General features: G+C 59.4%; 7 pseudogenes, besides 8 other annotated features; 6 read left to right on the top strand and 1 right to left on the bottom strand.

The window, feature by feature from the left end:
* Nucleotides 13-1,139, top strand: LOC100533649 (uncharacterized; annotated as a pseudogene).
* Nucleotides 701-1,306: an enhancer, noted in NCBI's record as "OCT4-H3K27ac-H3K4me1 hESC enhancer chr7:56442053-56442658 (GRCh37/hg19 assembly coordinates)". NCBI's record gives its function as "activates a minimal SCP1, AML or CMV promoter by ChIP-STARR-seq in naive and primed H9 embryonic stem cells {active_cell/tissue: H9 hESC(naive and primed)}" and the evidence as "EXISTENCE:reporter gene assay evidence [ECO:0000049][PMID:30033119]".
* Nucleotides 1,307-1,912: an enhancer, noted in NCBI's record as "OCT4-H3K27ac-H3K4me1 hESC enhancer chr7:56441447-56442052 (GRCh37/hg19 assembly coordinates)". NCBI's record gives its function as "activates a minimal SCP1, AML or CMV promoter by ChIP-STARR-seq in naive and primed H9 embryonic stem cells {active_cell/tissue: H9 hESC(naive and primed)}" and the evidence as "EXISTENCE:reporter gene assay evidence [ECO:0000049][PMID:30033119]".
* Nucleotides 1,781-2,435, top strand: LOC100419986 (uncharacterized; annotated as a pseudogene).
* Nucleotides 1,913-2,518: an enhancer, noted in NCBI's record as "OCT4-H3K27ac-H3K4me1 hESC enhancer chr7:56440841-56441446 (GRCh37/hg19 assembly coordinates)". NCBI's record gives its function as "activates a minimal SCP1, AML or CMV promoter by ChIP-STARR-seq in naive and primed H9 embryonic stem cells {active_cell/tissue: H9 hESC(naive and primed)}" and the evidence as "EXISTENCE:reporter gene assay evidence [ECO:0000049][PMID:30033119]".
* Nucleotides 2,519-3,126: an enhancer, noted in NCBI's record as "OCT4-H3K27ac-H3K4me1 hESC enhancer chr7:56440233-56440840 (GRCh37/hg19 assembly coordinates)". NCBI's record gives its function as "activates a minimal SCP1, AML or CMV promoter by ChIP-STARR-seq in naive and primed H9 embryonic stem cells {active_cell/tissue: H9 hESC(naive and primed)}" and the evidence as "EXISTENCE:reporter gene assay evidence [ECO:0000049][PMID:30033119]".
* LOC100533648 (uncharacterized) lies at nt 2,617-3,730 on the top strand (annotated as a pseudogene).
* Nucleotides 3,127-3,732: an enhancer, noted in NCBI's record as "OCT4-H3K27ac-H3K4me1 hESC enhancer chr7:56439627-56440232 (GRCh37/hg19 assembly coordinates)". NCBI's record gives its function as "activates a minimal SCP1, AML or CMV promoter by ChIP-STARR-seq in primed H9 embryonic stem cells {active_cell/tissue: H9 hESC(primed)}" and the evidence as "EXISTENCE:reporter gene assay evidence [ECO:0000049][PMID:30033119]".
* Nucleotides 3,733-4,338: an enhancer, noted in NCBI's record as "OCT4-H3K27ac-H3K4me1 hESC enhancer chr7:56439021-56439626 (GRCh37/hg19 assembly coordinates)". NCBI's record gives its function as "activates a minimal SCP1, AML or CMV promoter by ChIP-STARR-seq in naive and primed H9 embryonic stem cells {active_cell/tissue: H9 hESC(naive and primed)}" and the evidence as "EXISTENCE:reporter gene assay evidence [ECO:0000049][PMID:30033119]".
* Nucleotides 3,915-5,028, top strand: LOC100419985 (uncharacterized; annotated as a pseudogene).
* Nucleotides 4,339-4,944: an enhancer, noted in NCBI's record as "OCT4-H3K27ac-H3K4me1 hESC enhancer chr7:56438415-56439020 (GRCh37/hg19 assembly coordinates)". NCBI's record gives its function as "activates a minimal SCP1, AML or CMV promoter by ChIP-STARR-seq in primed H9 embryonic stem cells {active_cell/tissue: H9 hESC(primed)}" and the evidence as "EXISTENCE:reporter gene assay evidence [ECO:0000049][PMID:30033119]".
* Nucleotides 4,945-5,552: an enhancer, noted in NCBI's record as "OCT4-H3K27ac-H3K4me1 hESC enhancer chr7:56437807-56438414 (GRCh37/hg19 assembly coordinates)". NCBI's record gives its function as "activates a minimal SCP1, AML or CMV promoter by ChIP-STARR-seq in primed H9 embryonic stem cells {active_cell/tissue: H9 hESC(primed)}" and the evidence as "EXISTENCE:reporter gene assay evidence [ECO:0000049][PMID:30033119]".
* LOC731631 (putative uncharacterized protein FLJ44672) lies at nt 8,317-9,558 on the top strand (annotated as a pseudogene).
* Nucleotides 11,423-13,250, bottom strand: CICP8 (capicua transcriptional repressor pseudogene 8; annotated as a pseudogene).
* Nucleotides 15,126-15,503, top strand: SEPTIN14P24 (septin 14 pseudogene 24; annotated as a pseudogene).

The following is a 17,190-nucleotide window of genomic DNA, read 5'->3' as shown; positions in this document are numbered from 1 at the left end:
TTTCTCACCGTGGCCTCCTGGGGCAATGCTCCCCGCTCTCGGGAACCTCTGCGGGCCCAGCTCCTGCCTCCCAGTGGCCTCTCTAGGCCAAGCCCGTGCCTCAGGGCAGCCTTTCCAGGCCTAGTGTTTGCTGCTTTGCATCCTCTTCAGGCTCTGGACTTCCTCCAGTCGGCCTCTCCAGGCCCAGCTCTTCCTCCCGGCGGCCTCTCCAGGCCCAGACTGTCATCAAGTCGGCCTGTCCAGGGCCAGCTCCTGCCTCGCAAAGGCCTGCACAGGCCCACCATCGGCCTCACAGCGGACTCTCCACGCCCAGCTACCTCTCGCCTCACTGCGGCCTCCCGAGTCCAAAACTCCTGCCTCTCCGCCACTTCCGCAGGCCCAGCTCCCAACTGCCAGTGGCCTCTTCAGGCCCATGGGGCTCATTCCTCAAAACGGCCTTTCCAGGCCCAGTTTTTCCCTTCCGGCGGCCTCTCCGGGCCCAGAACCTCCTCAAGTCGGCCTCTAAAGACCCACTTGCAGCCTCCCGGCGTCCTCTCCGGGCCCAGCTCTTCCTCCCGGCTGCGTCTCCAGGCCCGACTGCTGCCTCCCAACAACCTCTTTGGACTCAGCGCCTGCCCATCTCCTGGCGGCCTTGGTCGGCCCACAGCTTCCTCAAGCCAAGCTCCCCAGGCCCAGGTCAGGCCTCACGGTGGCCTCCAGGATCACCTCCTGCCCTCCAATGGCGTCTCCAGACCCGAAATGGTCTCCGGTCGGTGGGCTCCTCCACGCCCAGCTTGGGCCTCCCGGCGACCTCTGCAGGCCCAAGTCGTCCTGAAGTCGGCGTCGCCCGGCCCTGCCTCCCAGCAAGTAAGCAAGCTCTTTGGGCTCAACTCCTGCCCAGCTCCCAGCCGCCTTTGTAGGCCCCGAACTTTCTCGAGCCAAGCTCTTCGCGCCCGCCTACTGCCTCTCGGTGGCCTGTACAGGCCCAGCTCTGGCGGTAGAACAGCCTCTGCAGGTCCCGCTCTTGCCTCCCAGGGGCCTCTCCAGGCCCAGCTCTCGCCCCCACGGCGGCCTCCCGGCAGCCCGCGTGCGGCCCAGTTCCTCCCTCACGGTGGCCTGTTGATGCCCAACTCATGCCGCTGGCACCCTGCGCAGAGGCGTGAGTCCCTGCCTCACACTGGCTCCTCCCACGCTGAGAGAGGTCGGCGTGAGCCCCTTGCCTCACACCGGCCCCTCCCACACTGACCCCTTGGCTCACACCGGCCCCTCCCACGCAGAGAGAGGTCAGCGTGAGCCCCTTGCCTCACACCGGCCCCTCTCACGCCGAGAGAGGTCAGCGTGAGCCCCTTGCCTCTCACCGGCCCCTCCCACGCCGAGAGAGGTCAGCGTGAGCCCTTGCCTCACACCGGCCCCTCCCACGCCGAGAGAGGTCAGCGTGAGCCCCTGCCTCAACAGGCCACCGTGAGGGAGGAGCAGGCCGTACGCAGGCTGCCGGGAGCAGGCAGGGACTTGGCCGCGGGAGGCCGTGGTGGGGCGAGAGCTGGGCCTGGAGACGCCCCTGGGAGGCAACAGCGGGGCCTGCTGACGCTCTTCTGCTGCCAGAGCTGGGACTGTACAGGCCACCGGGAGGCAGGATGTGGGCCTGAAGAGCTTGGCTGCAGAAACTTCGGGGTCTACAAACGCTGGAGGGAGCTGAGCCAAAAGAGCTTGCCTGCTGGGAGGCAGGAGCTGAGCCGAGAGATGCAGCCAGGAGGAACAGCTGGGCCTGCAGAGGCCGCCATGAGGGAGGCAGAGGCCGGGCCTCCTCAAGTCGGCCTCTCCAGACCCACATGCAGCCTCCCGGCGTCCTCTCCGGGCCCAGCTCTTCCTCCCGGCTGCGTCTCCAGGCCCGACTGCTGCCTCCCAACAACCTCTTTGGACTCAGCGCCTGCCCATCTCCTGGCGGCCTTGGTCGGCCCACAGCTTCCTCAAGCCAAGCTCCCCAGGCCCAGGTCAGGCCTCACGGTGGCCTCTCCAGGATCAGCTCCTGCCCTCCGATGGCGTCTCCAGGCCCCAAACGGTCTCCGGTCGGTGGGCTCCTCCGCGCCCAGCTTGGGCCTCCTGGCGACCTCTGCAGGCCCAAGTCGTCCTGAAGTCAGCGTCTCCCGGCCCTGCCTCCCAGCAAGTAAGCAAGCTCTTTGGGCTCAACTCCTGCCCAGCTCAAAACCGCCTTTGTAGGCCCCGAACTTTCTCGAGCCAAGCTCTTCGCGCCCGCCTACTGCCTCTCGGTGGCCTGTACAGGCCCAGCTCTGGCGGAAGAACAGCCTCTGCAGGTCCCGCTCTTGCCTCCCAGGGGCCTCTCCAGGCCCAGCTCTCGCCCCCACGGCGGCCTCCCGGCAGCCCGCGTGCGGACCAGTTCCTCCCTCACGGGGGCCTGTTGATGCCCAAGCATGCCGCTGGCACCCTGCGCAGAGGCGTGAGTCCTGCCTCACACTGGCTCCTCCACGCTGAGAGAGTCGGCGTGAGCCCCTTGCCTCACACCGGCCCCTCCCACACTGACCCCTTGGCTCACACCGGCCCCTCCCACGCAGAGAGAGGTCACCGTGAGCCCCTTGCCTCACACCGGCCCCTCTCACGCCGAGAGAGGTCAGCGTGAGCCCCTTGCCTCACACCGGCCCCTCCCACGCCGAGAGAGGTCAGCGTGAGCCCTTGCCTCACACCGGCCCCTCCCACGCCGAGAGAGGTCAGCGTGAGCCCCTGCCTCAACAGGCCACCGTGAGGGAGGAGCAGGGCCGTACGCAGGCTGCCGGGAGCAGGCAGGGACTTGGCCGCGGGAGGCCGTGGTGGGGCGAGAGCTGGGCCTGGAGACGCCCCTGGGAGGCAACAGCGGGGCCTGCTGACGCTCTTCTGCTGCCAGAGCTGGGACTGTACAGGCCACCGGGAGGCAGGATGTGGGCCTGAAGAGCTTGGCTGCAGAAACTTCGGGGTCTACAAACGCTGGAGGGAGCTGAGCCAAAAGAGCTTGCCTGCTGGGAGGCAGGAGCTGGGCCGAGAGATGCAGCCAGGAGGAACAGCTGGGCCTGCAGAGGCCGCCATGAGGGAGGCAGAGGCCGGGCCTCCTCAAGTCGGCCTCTCCAGACCCACATGCAGCCTCCCGGCGTCCTCTCCGGGCCCAGCTCTTCCTCCCGGCTGCGTCTCCAGGCCCGACTGCTGCCTCCCAACAACCTCTTTGGACTCAGCGCCTGCCCATCTCCTGGCGGCCTTGGTCGGCCCACAGCTTCCTCAAGCCAAGCTCCCCAGGCCCAGGTCAGGCCTCACGGTGGCCTCTCCAGGATCAGCTCCTGCCCTCCGATGGCGTCTCCAGGCCCCAAACGGTCTCCGGTCGGTGGGCTCCTCCGCGCCCAGCTTGGGCCTCCTGGCGACCTCTGCAGGCCCAAGTCGTCCTGAAGTCGGCGTCTCCCGGCCCTGCCTCCCAGCAAGTAAGCAAGCTCTTTGGGCTCAACTCCTGCCCAGCTCAAAACCGCCTTTGTAGGCCCCGAACTTTCTCGAGCCAAGCTCTTCGCGCCCGCCTACTGCCTCTCGGTGGCCTGTACAGGCCCAGCTCTGGCGGTAGAACAGCCTCTGCAGGTCCCGCTCTTGCCTCCCAGGGGCCTCTCCAGGCCCAGCTCTCGCCCCCACGGCGGCCTCCCGGCAGCCCGCGTGCGGCCCAGTGCCTCCCTCACGGTGGCCTGTTGATGCCCAACTCATGCCGCTGGCACCCTGCGCAGAGGCGTGAGTCCCTGCCTCACACTGGCTCCTCCCACGCTGAGAGAGGTCGGCGTGAGCCCCTTGCCTCACACCGGCCCCTCCCACACTGACCCCTTGGCTCACACCGGCCCCTCCCACGCAGAGAGAGGTCAGCGTGAGCCCCTTGCCTCACACCGGCCCCTCTCACGCCGAGAGAGGTCAGCGTGAGCCCCTTGCCTCACACCGGCCCCTCCCACGCCGAGAGAGGTCAGCGTGAGCCCTTGCCTCACACCGGCCCCTCCCACGCCGAGAGAGGTCAGCGTGAGCCCCTGCCTCAACAGGCCACCGTGAGGGAGGAGCAGGGCCGTACGCAGGCTGCCGGGAGCAGGCAGGGACTTGGCCGCGGGAGGCCGTGGTGGGGCGAGAGCTGGGCCTGGAGACGCCCCTGGGAGGCAACAGCGGGGCCTGCTGACGCTCTTCTGCTGCCAGAGCTGGGACTGTACAGGCCACCGGGAGGCAGGATGTGGGCCTGAAGAGCTTGGCTGCAGAAACTTCGGGGTCTACAAACGCTGGAGGGAGCTGAGCCAAAAGAGCTTGCCTGCTGGGAGGCAGGAGCTGGGCCGAGAGATGCAGCCAGGAGGAACAGCTGGGCCTGCAGAGGCCGCCATGAGGGAGGCAGAGGCCGGGCCTCCTCAAGTCGGCCTCTCCAGACCCACATGCAGCCTCCCGGCGTCCTCTCCGGGCCCAGCTCTTCCTCCCGGCTGCGTCTCCAGGCCCGACTGCTGCCTCCCAACAACCTCTTTGGACTCAGCGCCTGCCCATCTCCTGGCGGCCTTGGTCGGCCCACAGCTTCCTCAAGCCAAGCTCCCCAGGCCCAGGTCAGGCCTCACGGTGGCCTCTCCAGGATCAGCTCCTGCCCTCCGATGGCGTCTCCAGGCCCCAAACGGTCTCCGGTCGGTGGGCTCCTCCGCGCCCAGCTTGGGCCTCCTGGCGACCTCTGCAGGCCCAAGTCGTCCTGAAGTCGGCGTCTCCCGGCCCTGCCTCCCAGCAAGTAAGCAAGCTCTTTGGGCTCAACTCCTGCCCAGCTCAAAACCGCCTTTGTAGGCCCCGAACTTTCTCGAGCCAAGCTCTTCGCGCCCGCCTACTGCCTCTCGGTGGCCTGTACAGGCCCAGCTCTGGCGGTAGAACAGCCTCTGCAGGTCCCGCTCTTGCCTCCCAGGGGCCTCTCCAGGCCCAGCTCTCGCCCCCACGGCGGCCTCCCGGCAGCCCGCGTGCGGCCCAGTTCCTCCCTCACGGTGGCCTGTTGATGCCCAACTCATGCCGCTGGCACCCTGCGCAGAGGCGTGAGTCCCTGCCTCACACTGGCTCCTCCCACGCTGAGAGAGGTCGGCGTGAGCCCCTTGCCTCACACCGGCCCCTCCCACACTGACCCCTTGGCTCACACCGGCCCCTCCCACGCAGAGAGAGGTCAGCGTGAGCCCCTTGCCTCACACCGGCCCCTCTCACGCCGAGAGAGGTCAGCGTGAGCCCCTTGCCTCACACTGGCCCCTCCCACGCCGAGAGAGGTCAGCGTGAGCCCCTGCCTCAACAGGCCACCGTGAGGGAGAAGCAGGGCCGTACGCAGGCTGCCGGGAGCAGGCAGGGACTTGGCCGCGGGAGGCCGTGGTGGGGCGAGAGCTGGGCCTGGAGACGCCCCTGGGAGGCAACAGCGGGGCCTGCTGACGCTCTTCTGCTGCCAGAGCTGGGACTCTGGGTGCAGGCCACTGGGAGGCAGGATGTGGGCCTGAAGAGCTTTGCTGCAGAAACTTCGGGGTCTACAAACGCCGGCGGGAGCTGAGCCAAAAGTGCTTGCTTGCTGGGAGGCAGGAGGAACAGCTGGGCCTGCAGAGGCCGCCATGCTTGAGGCAGAGGCCGGGCCTCCTCAAGTCGGCCTCTCCAGAACCACTTGCAGCCTCCCGGTGTCCTCGCCGGGCCCAGCTCTTCCTCCCGGCTCCGTCTCCAGGCCCGACTGCTGCCTCCCAACAACCTCTTTGGACTCAGCGCCTGCCCATCTCCTGGCGGCCTTGGTCCGCCCACAGCTTCCTCAAGCCAAGCTCCCCAGGCCCAGGTCAGGCCTCACGGTGGCCTCTCCAGGATCAGCTCCTGCCCTCCGATGGCGTCTCCAGGCCCCAAATGGTCTCTGGTCGGTGGGCTCCTCCACTCCCAGCTTGGGCCTCCTGGCGACCTCTGCAGGCCCAAGTCGTCCTGAAGTCAGCTTCTCCCGGCCCTGCCTCCCAGCAAGTAAGCAAGCTCTTTTGGCTCAACTCCTGCCCAGCTCCCAGCCGCCTTTGTAGGCCCCGAACTTTCTCAAGCCAAGCTCTTCGGGCCCACCTACTGCCTCTCGGTGGCCTGTACAGGCCCAGCTCTGGCTGTAGAACAGCCTCTGCAGGACCCGCTCTTGCCTCCCAGGGGCCTCTCCAGGCCCATCTCTCACCCCCACGGCGGCCTCCTGGGGCCAAATCCCTGCCTGCCTCCCGGCAGCCCGCGTGCGGGCCACTTCCTCCCTCACGGTGGCCTGTTGATGCCCAACTCATGCCTCTGGCACCCTGCCCAGAGGCGCGAGTCGCTACCTCACACTGGCTCCTCCCACGCTGAGTGAGGTCGGCATGAGCCCTTGCCTCACACCGGCCCCTCCCACACTGAGAGAGGTCGGCGTGAGCCCCTTGCCTCACACTGGCCCCTCCCACGCTGATCCCTTGCCTCACACCGGCCCCTCCCACGCCGAGAGAGGTCAGCATGAGCCCTTGCCTCCCAGTGGCCCCTCCCACGCTGAGAGAGGTCAGCGTGAGCCCTTGCCTCACACTGGCCCCTGCCACGCTGAGAGACGTTGGCGTGAGCCCCTTGCCTCACACCGGCCCCTCCCACGCCGAGAGGTCAGCGTGAGCCCCTTGCCTCACACAGGCCCCTCCCACGCTGAGAGAGGTCGCCATGAGCCCCTTGCCTCACACTGGCCCCTCCCATGCTGAGAGAGGTCGGCGTGAGCCCCTTGCCTCACACTGGCCCCTCCCACCCTGAGAGAGGAAGGTGTGAGCCCCTTCCCTCACACTGTCCCCTCCCACGCTGACCCCTTGGCTCACGCCGGCACATCCCACGCAGAGAGAGGTCAGCGTGACCCCGTGCCTCACACCGGCCCCTCCCATGCTGAGAGGTCGGCGTGAGCCCCTTGACTCACACCGTCCCCTCCCACGCTGAGAGAGGGCCGCATGAGCCCCTTGCCTCACACCGGCCCCTCTCACGCTGAGAGAGGTCAGCGTGAGCCCTTGCCTCACACTGGCCCCTGCCACGCTGAGAGACGTCGGCGTGAGCCCCTTGCCTCACACCGGCCCCTCTCACGCTGAGAGAGGCCCGCATGAGCCCCTTGCCTCACACTGGCCCCTCCCACCCTGACAGAGGTTGGTGTGAGCCCCTTGCCTCACACCAGCCCCTCCCATGCTGACCCCTTGCCTCACACCGGACCCTCCCACACTGAGAGAGGTCCGCATGAGCCCTTTGCCTCACACTGGCCACTCCCACGCTGACAGAGGTTGGTGTGAGCCCCTTGCCTCACACCGGCCCCTCCCACGCTGACCCCTTGCCTCACACCGGCCCCTCCCAGGCCGAGAGAGGTCAGCGTGAGCCCTTGCCTCACACCGGCCCCTCCCACGCAGAGAGGTCAGCGTGAGCCCCTTGCCTCACACTGGCCCCTCCCATGCTGAGAGAGGTCGGCATGAGCCCCTTGCCTCACACTGGCCCCTCCCTCCCTGACAGAGGTGGGTGTGAGCCCCTTGCCTCACACTGGTCCCTCCCACGCTGACCCCTTGGCTCACACCGGCCCCTCCCACGCAGAGAGGTCAGCGTGTCCCCTTGCCTCACACCTGCCGCTCCCACGCTGAGAGGTCGGCGTGAGCCCCTTGCCTCACACTGGCCCCTCCCACGCTGACCCCTTGCCTCACACCGGCCCCTCCCACGCAGAGAGAGGTCAGCGTGAGCCCCTTGCCTCACACTGGCCCCTCCCACGCCGAGAGGTCAGCGTGAGCCCCTTGCCTCACACTGGCCCCTCCCACGCTGAGAAATGTCGGCATGAGCCCCTTGCCTCACACTGGCCCCTCCCACGCTGAGAGAGGTCGGCGTCAGCCCCTTGCCTCACACTGGCCCCTCCCACCCTGAGAGAGGTCGGTGTGAGCCCCTTGCCTCACACTGGCCCCTCCCACGCTGACCCCTTGGCTCACGCCGGCGCCTCCCATGCAGAGAGAGGTCAGCGTGACCCCTTGCCTCACACCGGCCCCTCCCATGCTGAGAGGTCGGTGTGAGCCCCTTGCCTCACACCGGCCCCTCCCACGCCGAGAGAGGTCAGCGTGAGCCCCTTGCCTCACACCGGCCCCTCCCACGCCGAGAGAGGTCCGCGTGAGCCCCTGCCTCAACAGGCCCCCGTGAGGGAGGAGCAGGGCCGCACGCAGGCTGCCGGGAGCAGGCAGGGACTTGGCCCCGGGAGGCCGCAGTGGGGGGAGAGCTGGGCCTGGATATGCCCCTGGGAGGCCACAGCGGGGCTTGCAGACGCTCTTCTGCTGCCAGAGCTGGGACTGTACAGGCCACCGGGAGGCAGGATGTGGGCCTGAAGAGCTTGGCTGCAGAAACTTCAGGGTCTACAAACGCCGGTGGGAGCTGAGCCAAAAGAGCTTGCTTGCTGTGAGGCAGGATGTGGGCCGAGAGATGCAGCCAGGAGGAACAGCTGGGCCTGCAGAGGCCGCCATGCGGGAGGCAGAGGCCGGGCCTCCTCAAGTCGGCCTCTCCAGACCCACTTGCAGCCTCCCGGCATCCTCTCCGGGCCCAGCTCTTCCTCCCAGCTGCGTCTCCACGCCCGACTCCGGCCTCCCAACAACTTCTTTGGACTCAGCTCCCGCCCAGCTCCCAGTGGCCCTGGTAGGCCCACAACTTCCTGAAGCCAAGCTCCCCAGGCCCAGGTCAGGCCTCACGGTGGCCTCTCCAGGCTCAGCTCCTGCCCTCCGACGGCGTCTCCAGGCCCCCAACGGCCTCCGGTCGGTGGGTTCCTCTAGGCCCATCTTGCGCCTCCCGGCGGCCTCTGCAGGCCCAAATCGTCCTGAAGTCGGCCTCTCCAGGCCCAGCTCCAGCCTCCCGGCGGCCTCTGCATGCCTAAGTCGTACTCAAGTCATCCTGGAAGTGGGCCTGGAAGAGCTGCAAGTTGGCCTCCCCGGGCCCAGCTCCGTCCTCTCGGCGGCCTCTCCAGGTGCAAAACTTCCTCGAGTCAGCCTCTCCAGGCCCAGCCTCTCCTGCCTCCCAGTGGCCTCTTTCGGCCCAGCCCAGCTCATGGCTCTCAGCGGCCTTCCTAGGCCCCGCTTTTGACTTTTGGTGGCCTCTTCAGGCCCAGAACTTGACCTCCAGTCGGCCTTTGCAGGCCCGGCTTCCTGCCTCTTGAAGGCCTGCACGTGCCCGGCCTCGGCTTCACAGTGGACTCTCCACGCCCAGCTAGCTCTCGCCTCACTGTAGCCTCCCCAGTCCAAAGCTCCTGCCTTTCGGTGGCTTTGGCAGTCCCAGCTCCTGCCTGCCAGTGGCCTCTTTAGGCCCAGCTCATTCCTCACAATGGCCTTTCCAGGCCCCGTTTTTCCCTTCTGGCAGCCTCTTGGCCTCTAATTTGTTTATCTTTTGTGTATAAATCCCAAAATATGGAATTTTGGAATATTTCTACCATTATATAAATATTTTCGAAGGTAATTTATTTGGAGTGAGTTTCTGCACCAAGTTCGAATTTTTTATTTATTTTCCTTATTATTTGGTGTTAAAACAGGTTTAATGATGGTCATGGCAACTTTTTGGCACAATGAAAAATACCGCCCATGATCAACGTGTTCTGTTCTGGGGAAGGGAGCAAAGGCAGGGTGAATCACTTTCTTAAAAAGTACAGCTCAAGTTGGGAGTGCAGAGGGAATGGTGAGAAAACCCTCCCGCTGCCTGTGTCGAAGTGCAGGAGCCCCCACCCCCATACTCACCTGAGTCCAGCCCCTCTGGGGAAAGAAGGGGTACATGAACTCCCCCTAGTCCACAGGCACCTCCCTGTGGCCCAAGGCCCTCCTCACACTCCATCTTGTAGCCCCAGCAGGAGCTATTTTCCAAAAAGTGAAAAGCTCTGAAGGTCCCACACTTCATGGTATGTACAGGGGCTCGGAGGAGGGAAACTGCCCAGCTTTCCCCCGGCACAGCTGCAGGGCTAGGGGGTATATATAAGAGGAGCAGGCTTTGGCCAGGTGTGGTGGCTCACGCCTGTAATCCCAGCACTTTGGGAGGTGGAGGCAGGTGGATCACGATGTCAGGAGATCGAAATCAGCCTGGCCAAGATGATGAAGCCCCGTCTGTACTAAAAATACAAAAATTAGCCGGACGTGGTAGCATGCACCTGTAATCCCAGCTACCCGGAAGGCTGAGGCAGGAGAATGGCGTGAACCCGGCAGGAATAGGTTGCAGTGAGCCAAGATTGCACCACTGCACTCCAGCCTGGGCGACAGAGCAAGACTCCGTCTCAAAAGAAAAAAGAGAGGCAGGCCTTATTCCGTCCCAAACTGAAAGGATTAAATGGCTTTACCCAGGAGAAGATAACCATCCTGCCCTCCATTGCTACCCCCACATAGTGTCCATGTTCTCAGGGGGTACTGTGAGTCCTGGGATCTTCTTTGGGGTCGCTCACCTGCCTGTCGTAGTTATGGAGACCCCCAGGTGTTGAGGCAGGGCTGGGGTGTCCCCTTCCAGCCAGGCTGTCAAGGTCCCAACTCTGGGGCAGAGGCAGTGGCAGGGCAGCCAGGGTTGCACCAGAGCCTGAGCAGGGTGAGGTGGGGTCAGACAGGGCTGGGAGTCAGGGCAGGGGCAGCAGCAGTGGACCCGCTATGCACACATCTTCTCCAAGGTTTGTGTGTAGAACATCCTGCTCATGCTGCCCCAACAGCTTCAGTTGGCCCCTGCCCCAGTCTAGCCTCTGGGACCCATGCAGCGGCTCCCAGCGGCCCTGCACCCACCACCAGCATCCGTTTCACCTGCAGTTGAAGATCCGTGAGGTGCCCAGAAGATCATGCAGTCATCAGTCCCACGGAGCAGCCTGCGAGGCTGAGGCTCCTCCCACTGGACTGCCCCCCAACTGGCACCACTGCTGCCCCTGCCCCTACTCTCAGCCTCACGTGACTCTCGGGCAGAGGCAGTGGTGGGGCATCCAGGGCAGCGTCAGAGTCTGAGCCAGGTGAGGTGGGGTCAGGACCCCCACAGGGCTGGGAGTCAGGGCAGGGGCAGAAGAAACCTTGGAGGGGAGGATGTGTGCATAGTGGGCCTGGAGGGCGGCTGTGGCCTAGTGGACAGGAAGAAGCAGTGGGCCTGGAAGAGCTGCATGATCAGGGCCGGCACTGGTCCAGGGCACATGCAGTGAAGAGGACACCGCCTTCTCGGTCTCCAGTTCCCTGAGCCCGTCCTCAGCTTCTCCCACCTGTACAGGCAAAGGGGAAGCTGTTCCCATCACACATGGCACACTTGGGGGTGTTGGGCTTTGGGCTGCAGCTGGAGCATCTTCTCATCTTGCATTTGAGCGTGGTGGGGTCCTCCAGTGCGGGATCCATGTCCGTGGGGTTCCCTCTGCCCCGACCCCCAAAGCCCAGTCAGTTTCTCCTCTTCAGGCTCTGCCCCCTGGGTGGCTCAGCCCAGCTCCTGCCTAGGAAAGCCTTAGTGTTGGGAGGGACCGTGATGACTGAGGGGCCTGGTAGCTCCAGGTCGCCCACACTTTCAGGTCTCTTGCACCAGAAGGTGGCAGGATCCATTGGGAGGAAACAGGTCGCCTTGGAAGGCATCCCTGGGCCCCCGTCCCCAGGGGTAGGGGCCACAGGGGGCCGGCTCTGCTGCCCTGACCAGACTCCTGGGCTTTGAAGGCTCCTGGGCCCAGTAAGGAGGTGGGTGCCAAGGTTGAGGAGGAAGCATAGGAGTGTGTAGGAGGAGGACGGGGTGGGACCATAGACTTTGCCAAAAACTGCAGGTGGATCGGGGGACCCTGGGGGCTCAGGATCCAGCAAGGGGCGGCAGGAGTAAAGGAAGAAGGAATGACAGGTGCAGATACCTTCCCACCAAAGCCCTTGTTGCCCTCTGGCTCCTCCCCAGAGTCGTCCCCACTCTCAGTCGGTCACCCACTCCTTGAACTTGAGATCAGTGTCAGTGGTGCTAAAGCCATCATCAGCAATGACATCGTCACCCCCTCCTCCTCATGGATGACCATGGGCTCCTCGTCACTCGCTGTGTCCTCACTGGCCATGTGCTGGGAATGAGCAGCTCAGGTGGGCAGCAGCAGGGCTGCCCACTGGTCACCTCCCTCACCAGGGGCTGCAAAGTGGCCTGGAGCTCCATGCTGAGTAGAAGGCTTTGGGCCAGAGTATGATGCAGTGCCAGACACCACTTGTGTCAGTTCCTGTAGTGCCTGATGGTCTATTTCCCTGCCGTCCAGGCTGTGTACCCCCCGTGGGAGAAGGCTTGGGCCAGGCTGAGCCAGGTTCCCTGACTGTGTGCAGCTGTCCTGCCCCACAGAAGCTGCTCCTTGGTATCCGAGCTCTGGAATGTCTGGGCTGCAACTGACAGGAGTTCAGAGGACACCCCAGGGGCAGTGGCAGTGCCCGTCTCTGATATGCTCCGCTCCCACGAGCCCTTGTACAGTCCTGCTAGCCCCTGGCTTGTGGGCTTGGCCTCTGAGCTGGACTTCTTTCGGTCCTTGTTGCAAGTGGGCCACCTTCACTTGGAAGGCCAGGTCGTGGTACTTCTGTGTCTCATTGGGCCCCAGGGTGTACCACCGCTTGCTCAGGATCTGGCTGACGGTCCAGTTATCCTGGTTGGGGTGACCCTGGTGCGCTCTGCCAGAGCCTGGTGCCGCTTGCTGAAGCTCATGACCACCACTCATGGGCCACCGGATGTGGTCCTTGTCCCATTTGTTGGGGCTGTGTCCATCCTTCTTAGAAGATGAGTCCTGTTCCTTGCGCAGTGCACTGAGGGACTGGGCCTGACATCATCTGAGTGGTAGAGGCAACTGGGTGTCAGGAGACATGACGGAGAGGAAAGCATCATCGTGGTCATTCTCTGTCTCACTGTCCAGCAGGGACTCCCCTTAGGGGCCCAGGGCTCCTCCTCCATGGTGGGAGGTGGGCTTTTACCAGGTTCCACCACCCCCAAAGTGTGTGGGGTTCCGGGCCCTGGGCTTTCAGGGCAGGTGGCTCCAGGGGGCCGCCCAGGGTCAACACTCCCTGTCCCACCTGGTGGACGCTCATGAGCAACAGCTGCCAACTTGGCAGGTTGTTTGCTCTGGTTGGAGGCCACTGAGTGACTGGCAGGTTGCCGGGCCTCGTGTGGCTGCAGGGAGGGGTCAGGAAGGGGACAGAGTACCAGGGGAACACAGCCACAGAGCGAGGTTCCACATTCCTCCACATGAACATGCTGACGCCACGGGAGGCCTCGCTGGACGCAGGCCTGTGGGCCAAGTACTTGGTCTGGGCAGGGGGTTCCTGGCAGGGGCTCACACCTCCTCAGCCCCCTCCTCAGCCAAGGTGGCTTGGGCCCAGAGAAGGAAGGGTTGGAGAGGAGCAGAAGGCCAGGCCTCATGTTTTGTTTTTTTTTTGTTGTTTTGTTTTTTGTTTTTGAAATGTAGTTGGACTTTTGTCACCCAGGCTGGAGTGCAGTGGCATGATCTCAGTGGCCTTCATAACTGGCTAATTTTTTGTATTTTTACTAGAGGTGGGGTTTCACCATGTAGGCCAGGCTGGTCTTGACCTCCTGACCTCAAGTGATCCACCCACCTCGGCCTCCCAAAATGGGATTACAGGCATGAGCCACCACTCCCAACTTCATTCATTTTTACTTGAAAAACTCCCTTAAGCATTTTTTTAAAGTAGACCTAGTGGTCCTGAATGCCCTCAGCTTTGTTTGTCGAGGAAACACGTTATTTCTTCTTTCTTTCTGAAGGACAGCTTTGTCAGACATAGTATTAGTTGCTGGCAGTTTTTTTCTTTCAGCACTTTGAATGTATTATTCGATTCTGTCCTGACCTGCAAAGTTTCTTTAACTTTTGACTATTTGATTATATTGTGACTTGTTGAGTATCTATTTGGTTTGAACCTCTTTAGGAATCTTTAAGCTTCATGGATTTAGATGTCTAAATCTTTCCCATGGTTTAGGCAGTTTTCAGCCATTCTTTAAATAAGCTTTCTTCTCCTTTCTCTACTTTCCTTCTCAAACTCCCATAACCTGACAATGGTTTGCCTAATGGTATCTTGTTGGCTTTCTTTTCTCTTTCTCTTTTTTTTTTCTTTCTTTCTTTTTTTTTTTTTTTTTTTTTTTTGAGACAGAGTCGTGCTCTGTCACCCAGGCTGTAGTGCAATGTGTGGTCTCGGCTCACATTGCACTCCAACCTCCGCCTCCTGGGTTCAAGTGATTCTCCTGCCTCAGCCTCCCAGGTAGCTGGGACTAAAGGTGTGTGCCACCACACCCGGCTAATTTTTGTATTTTTTGTAGAGATGGGGTTTTGTCGTGTTGACCAGGCTGGTCTTGAACTCCTGACCTCTTAATCTGCCTGCCTTGGCCTCCCAAAGTGTTGAGATTACAGGCTTGAGCCACCACGTCCAGCCTTCTTTTCTCTTTTTTATTCTTTTTTTTTTTTTTTGTCCTCTGACTAGATAATTTCAGAAGATCTATATTCAAGCTTACAGATTCTCTCTCCTGTTGAAGTTTACTGTTGTGTTATATCACCCAGTCTGGTCTTGAACTCCTGGGCTCAAGCGATCCTCCCACCTTGGCCTCCCAAAGTGCTGAGTTTACAAGCATGAGCCACTGCATCCAGTCAGTCCCAGCACTTTGGGAAGCTGAGGTGGGAGGATCACTTGAGCTCAGGAGTTTGAGACCAGCCTGGGCAACATACTGAGACCTTGTCTCTATATTTAAAAAAAAAAAAAAAGTCTTTGGGAGGCCAAAGCGGGAGGATCACCTGAGGTCAGGATTTTGAGAGCAGCCTGGCCAACATGGCAAAACCCCATCTCTACTAAAAATACAAAAATTAGCCAGGTGTGGTGGCACATGCCTGTAGTGGTGGTGCATGCCTGTAGTCCCAGCTACTCAAGAGGCTGAGGCAGGAGAATCACTTGAACTGGGAGATGGAGGTTGCAGTGAGCCGAGATCACACCAGTGCACTCCAGCCTGGGCAACAGAGTGAGACTCCATCTTATAAAAGGAAAAAAAGAAAAGAAAAGTTCCATATCTGAGTGTTTACTCCTGAGTTTTTGAGATTGTTATTAAGATCATGCTCTACTGTGATGATTTGGGTTTGTTTGATAATCAGAAAAAAAGCATATTCTTTTGGGTGTTCAACCACACTGTGCTTTGGTGTCACAACTGCACATTGGTTTCACAGCTGCAGGACAAGTTCGAGCATCTTAAAATGATTCAACAGGAGGAGATAAGGGAGCTCGAGGAAGAGAAAAAACAACTGGAAGGAGAAATCATAGATTTTTATAAAATGAAATCTGCCTCTGAAGCACTGCAGACTCAGCTGAGCACTGATACAAAGAAAGACAGACATCGTAAGAAGCAATAGTTTCTCTTACTATTCTGAAAGCCTTATCATTCTACATCCCATCTTCCTGTGAGATTGTCTTTGTAGCATTTAACTCTAATTGCAGTTGTCATTTTAAAAATTGGCTTGCTTATTGTATATTTTCCCCAACTAAAGCGTGAACTCCTAGCAGGGTGTGGTGGCTCATGCCTGTAATCTCAGCACTGTGGGAGGCCGAGGTGGGTCGACTACCTGAGGTTAGGAGTTTGAGACCAGCCTGACCAACATGATGAAATGCTGTCTCTACTAAAAATACAAAAATTAGCCAGGCGTGGTGGCCGGGACCTGTAATCCCAGCTACTTGGGAGGCTGAGGCAGGAGAATCACTTGAACCCCAGAGGTGGAGGTTGCAGTGAGCTGAGATCTCACCATTACACTCCAGCCTGGGCAACAAGAGCAAAACTCCATCTCAAAAAGAAAAAAAAAAAAGGGTGAACTCCTTGAAGGCAGGTCCTGTGTCCATCTTTTCAGATTCTGTATCCCAGCACTTAGGACATAGACAAACACGAAGATGACAATCAATATTTGCCAAAATGAAAAAACAAAAGAAACATGTAACATCATGTAAAAGGAGCTGGTTAGGTGGAGAAATTTCTTTACCATAGTCTTGCTTGTGGATCCAGTAATGACTTTTACATTTTATATCTAAATAGAAGCTGGAGGCTTTGTTGGGGACTCATAGGCATAAAATATTATGTTATTTATTATAGAGTTAAATGCCACAAAGACAAATCTAATTAATAGGCCTATTTTCCTTTTTAAATTCTACTCATAATTTCTTCATAAATTTTATGATAAAATGTTGGATTTTGATTAGAACTCCCATGCTTTTGTGTCAGAATTAAAACTGATATTAGAATAAATAATTCAAAAGCTAGAGAACGAGTACAGTGAGAAGCCATGAGTTGCATTTGAATTATAATATTATGTCTTACAGATTTGGGATATATGCTAAAGTTATCAAAGTTGTAGAAAATAAGTCCGGTCATTGTGGCTCACATCTGTAATTCCAGCACTTTGGGAGGCCGAGGTGGGCAGATCTTTTGAGGTCAGGAGTTTGAGACCAGCCCGGCCAACATGGTGAAACTCCGTTTGTACTAATAGTACAAAAATTAGCCAGGCGTGACGGTGTGCACCTGTAGTCCTTGCTACTCAGAAAGCTGAGGCAGGAGAATCGCTTGTACCCAGGAGGCAGAGGTTGCAGTGAGCAGAGATTGCGCCACTGCACGCCAGCCTGTGTGACAGAGTGCTGTGAGTCACCACACCTGGTATGAGCCACCGTGCCTGACCCACAATGACTTTTATACGTGTTGTTAAATCATCTTACAGATTTTATAATTTGGGGGAAGAAAAGTTTTACTAAATGGTGTTTTAATGGAAACTCTACAAGAACCAGAATCTTTGCTTTGTTCACTTATGTATCCATTCCTAGGCCTAGAAAAATGTCTGACACATAGCAGCAATTATTCATTGAATAAATGGACCCAGTGATAGAACATTAGCTATGCTATATGCATACATTAAAGATGTAGATTATTGACTTTCAAAAGATAATTAATGTAACTTCTTACTGCTTCTGAACATGTTTGTGAGTTATATTGCTGAGGGACCTTTATCTTCTCATTCTTTCATCTTAACCCAATGTTATAAAATTGAAATCACCAATATTATTCCATATCTAAAATTAATATCTACCTTGTAAAAAATATCACTCTGCTGAATTTGAGAATAGACTTTTTAGGTAATAATGATGCAATCCATAGGGTTTTTTGGGGGCACAGAAGGAGTCATGCTAACAGAACATTTTATTTTCTATTTTCCCAGAGCTGTAAAACATGAAATTATGATAGTATAAGGCATAT

Source organism: Homo sapiens, chromosome 7, assembly GCF_000001405.40.
Source record: "Homo sapiens chromosome 7, GRCh38.p14 Primary Assembly".
NCBI classification, from domain to species: domain Eukaryota; kingdom Metazoa; phylum Chordata; class Mammalia; order Primates; family Hominidae; genus Homo; species Homo sapiens.
The sequence above is the reverse complement of the archived record's forward strand: the minus strand, read 5'-3'. Positions and strand labels throughout refer to the sequence as shown.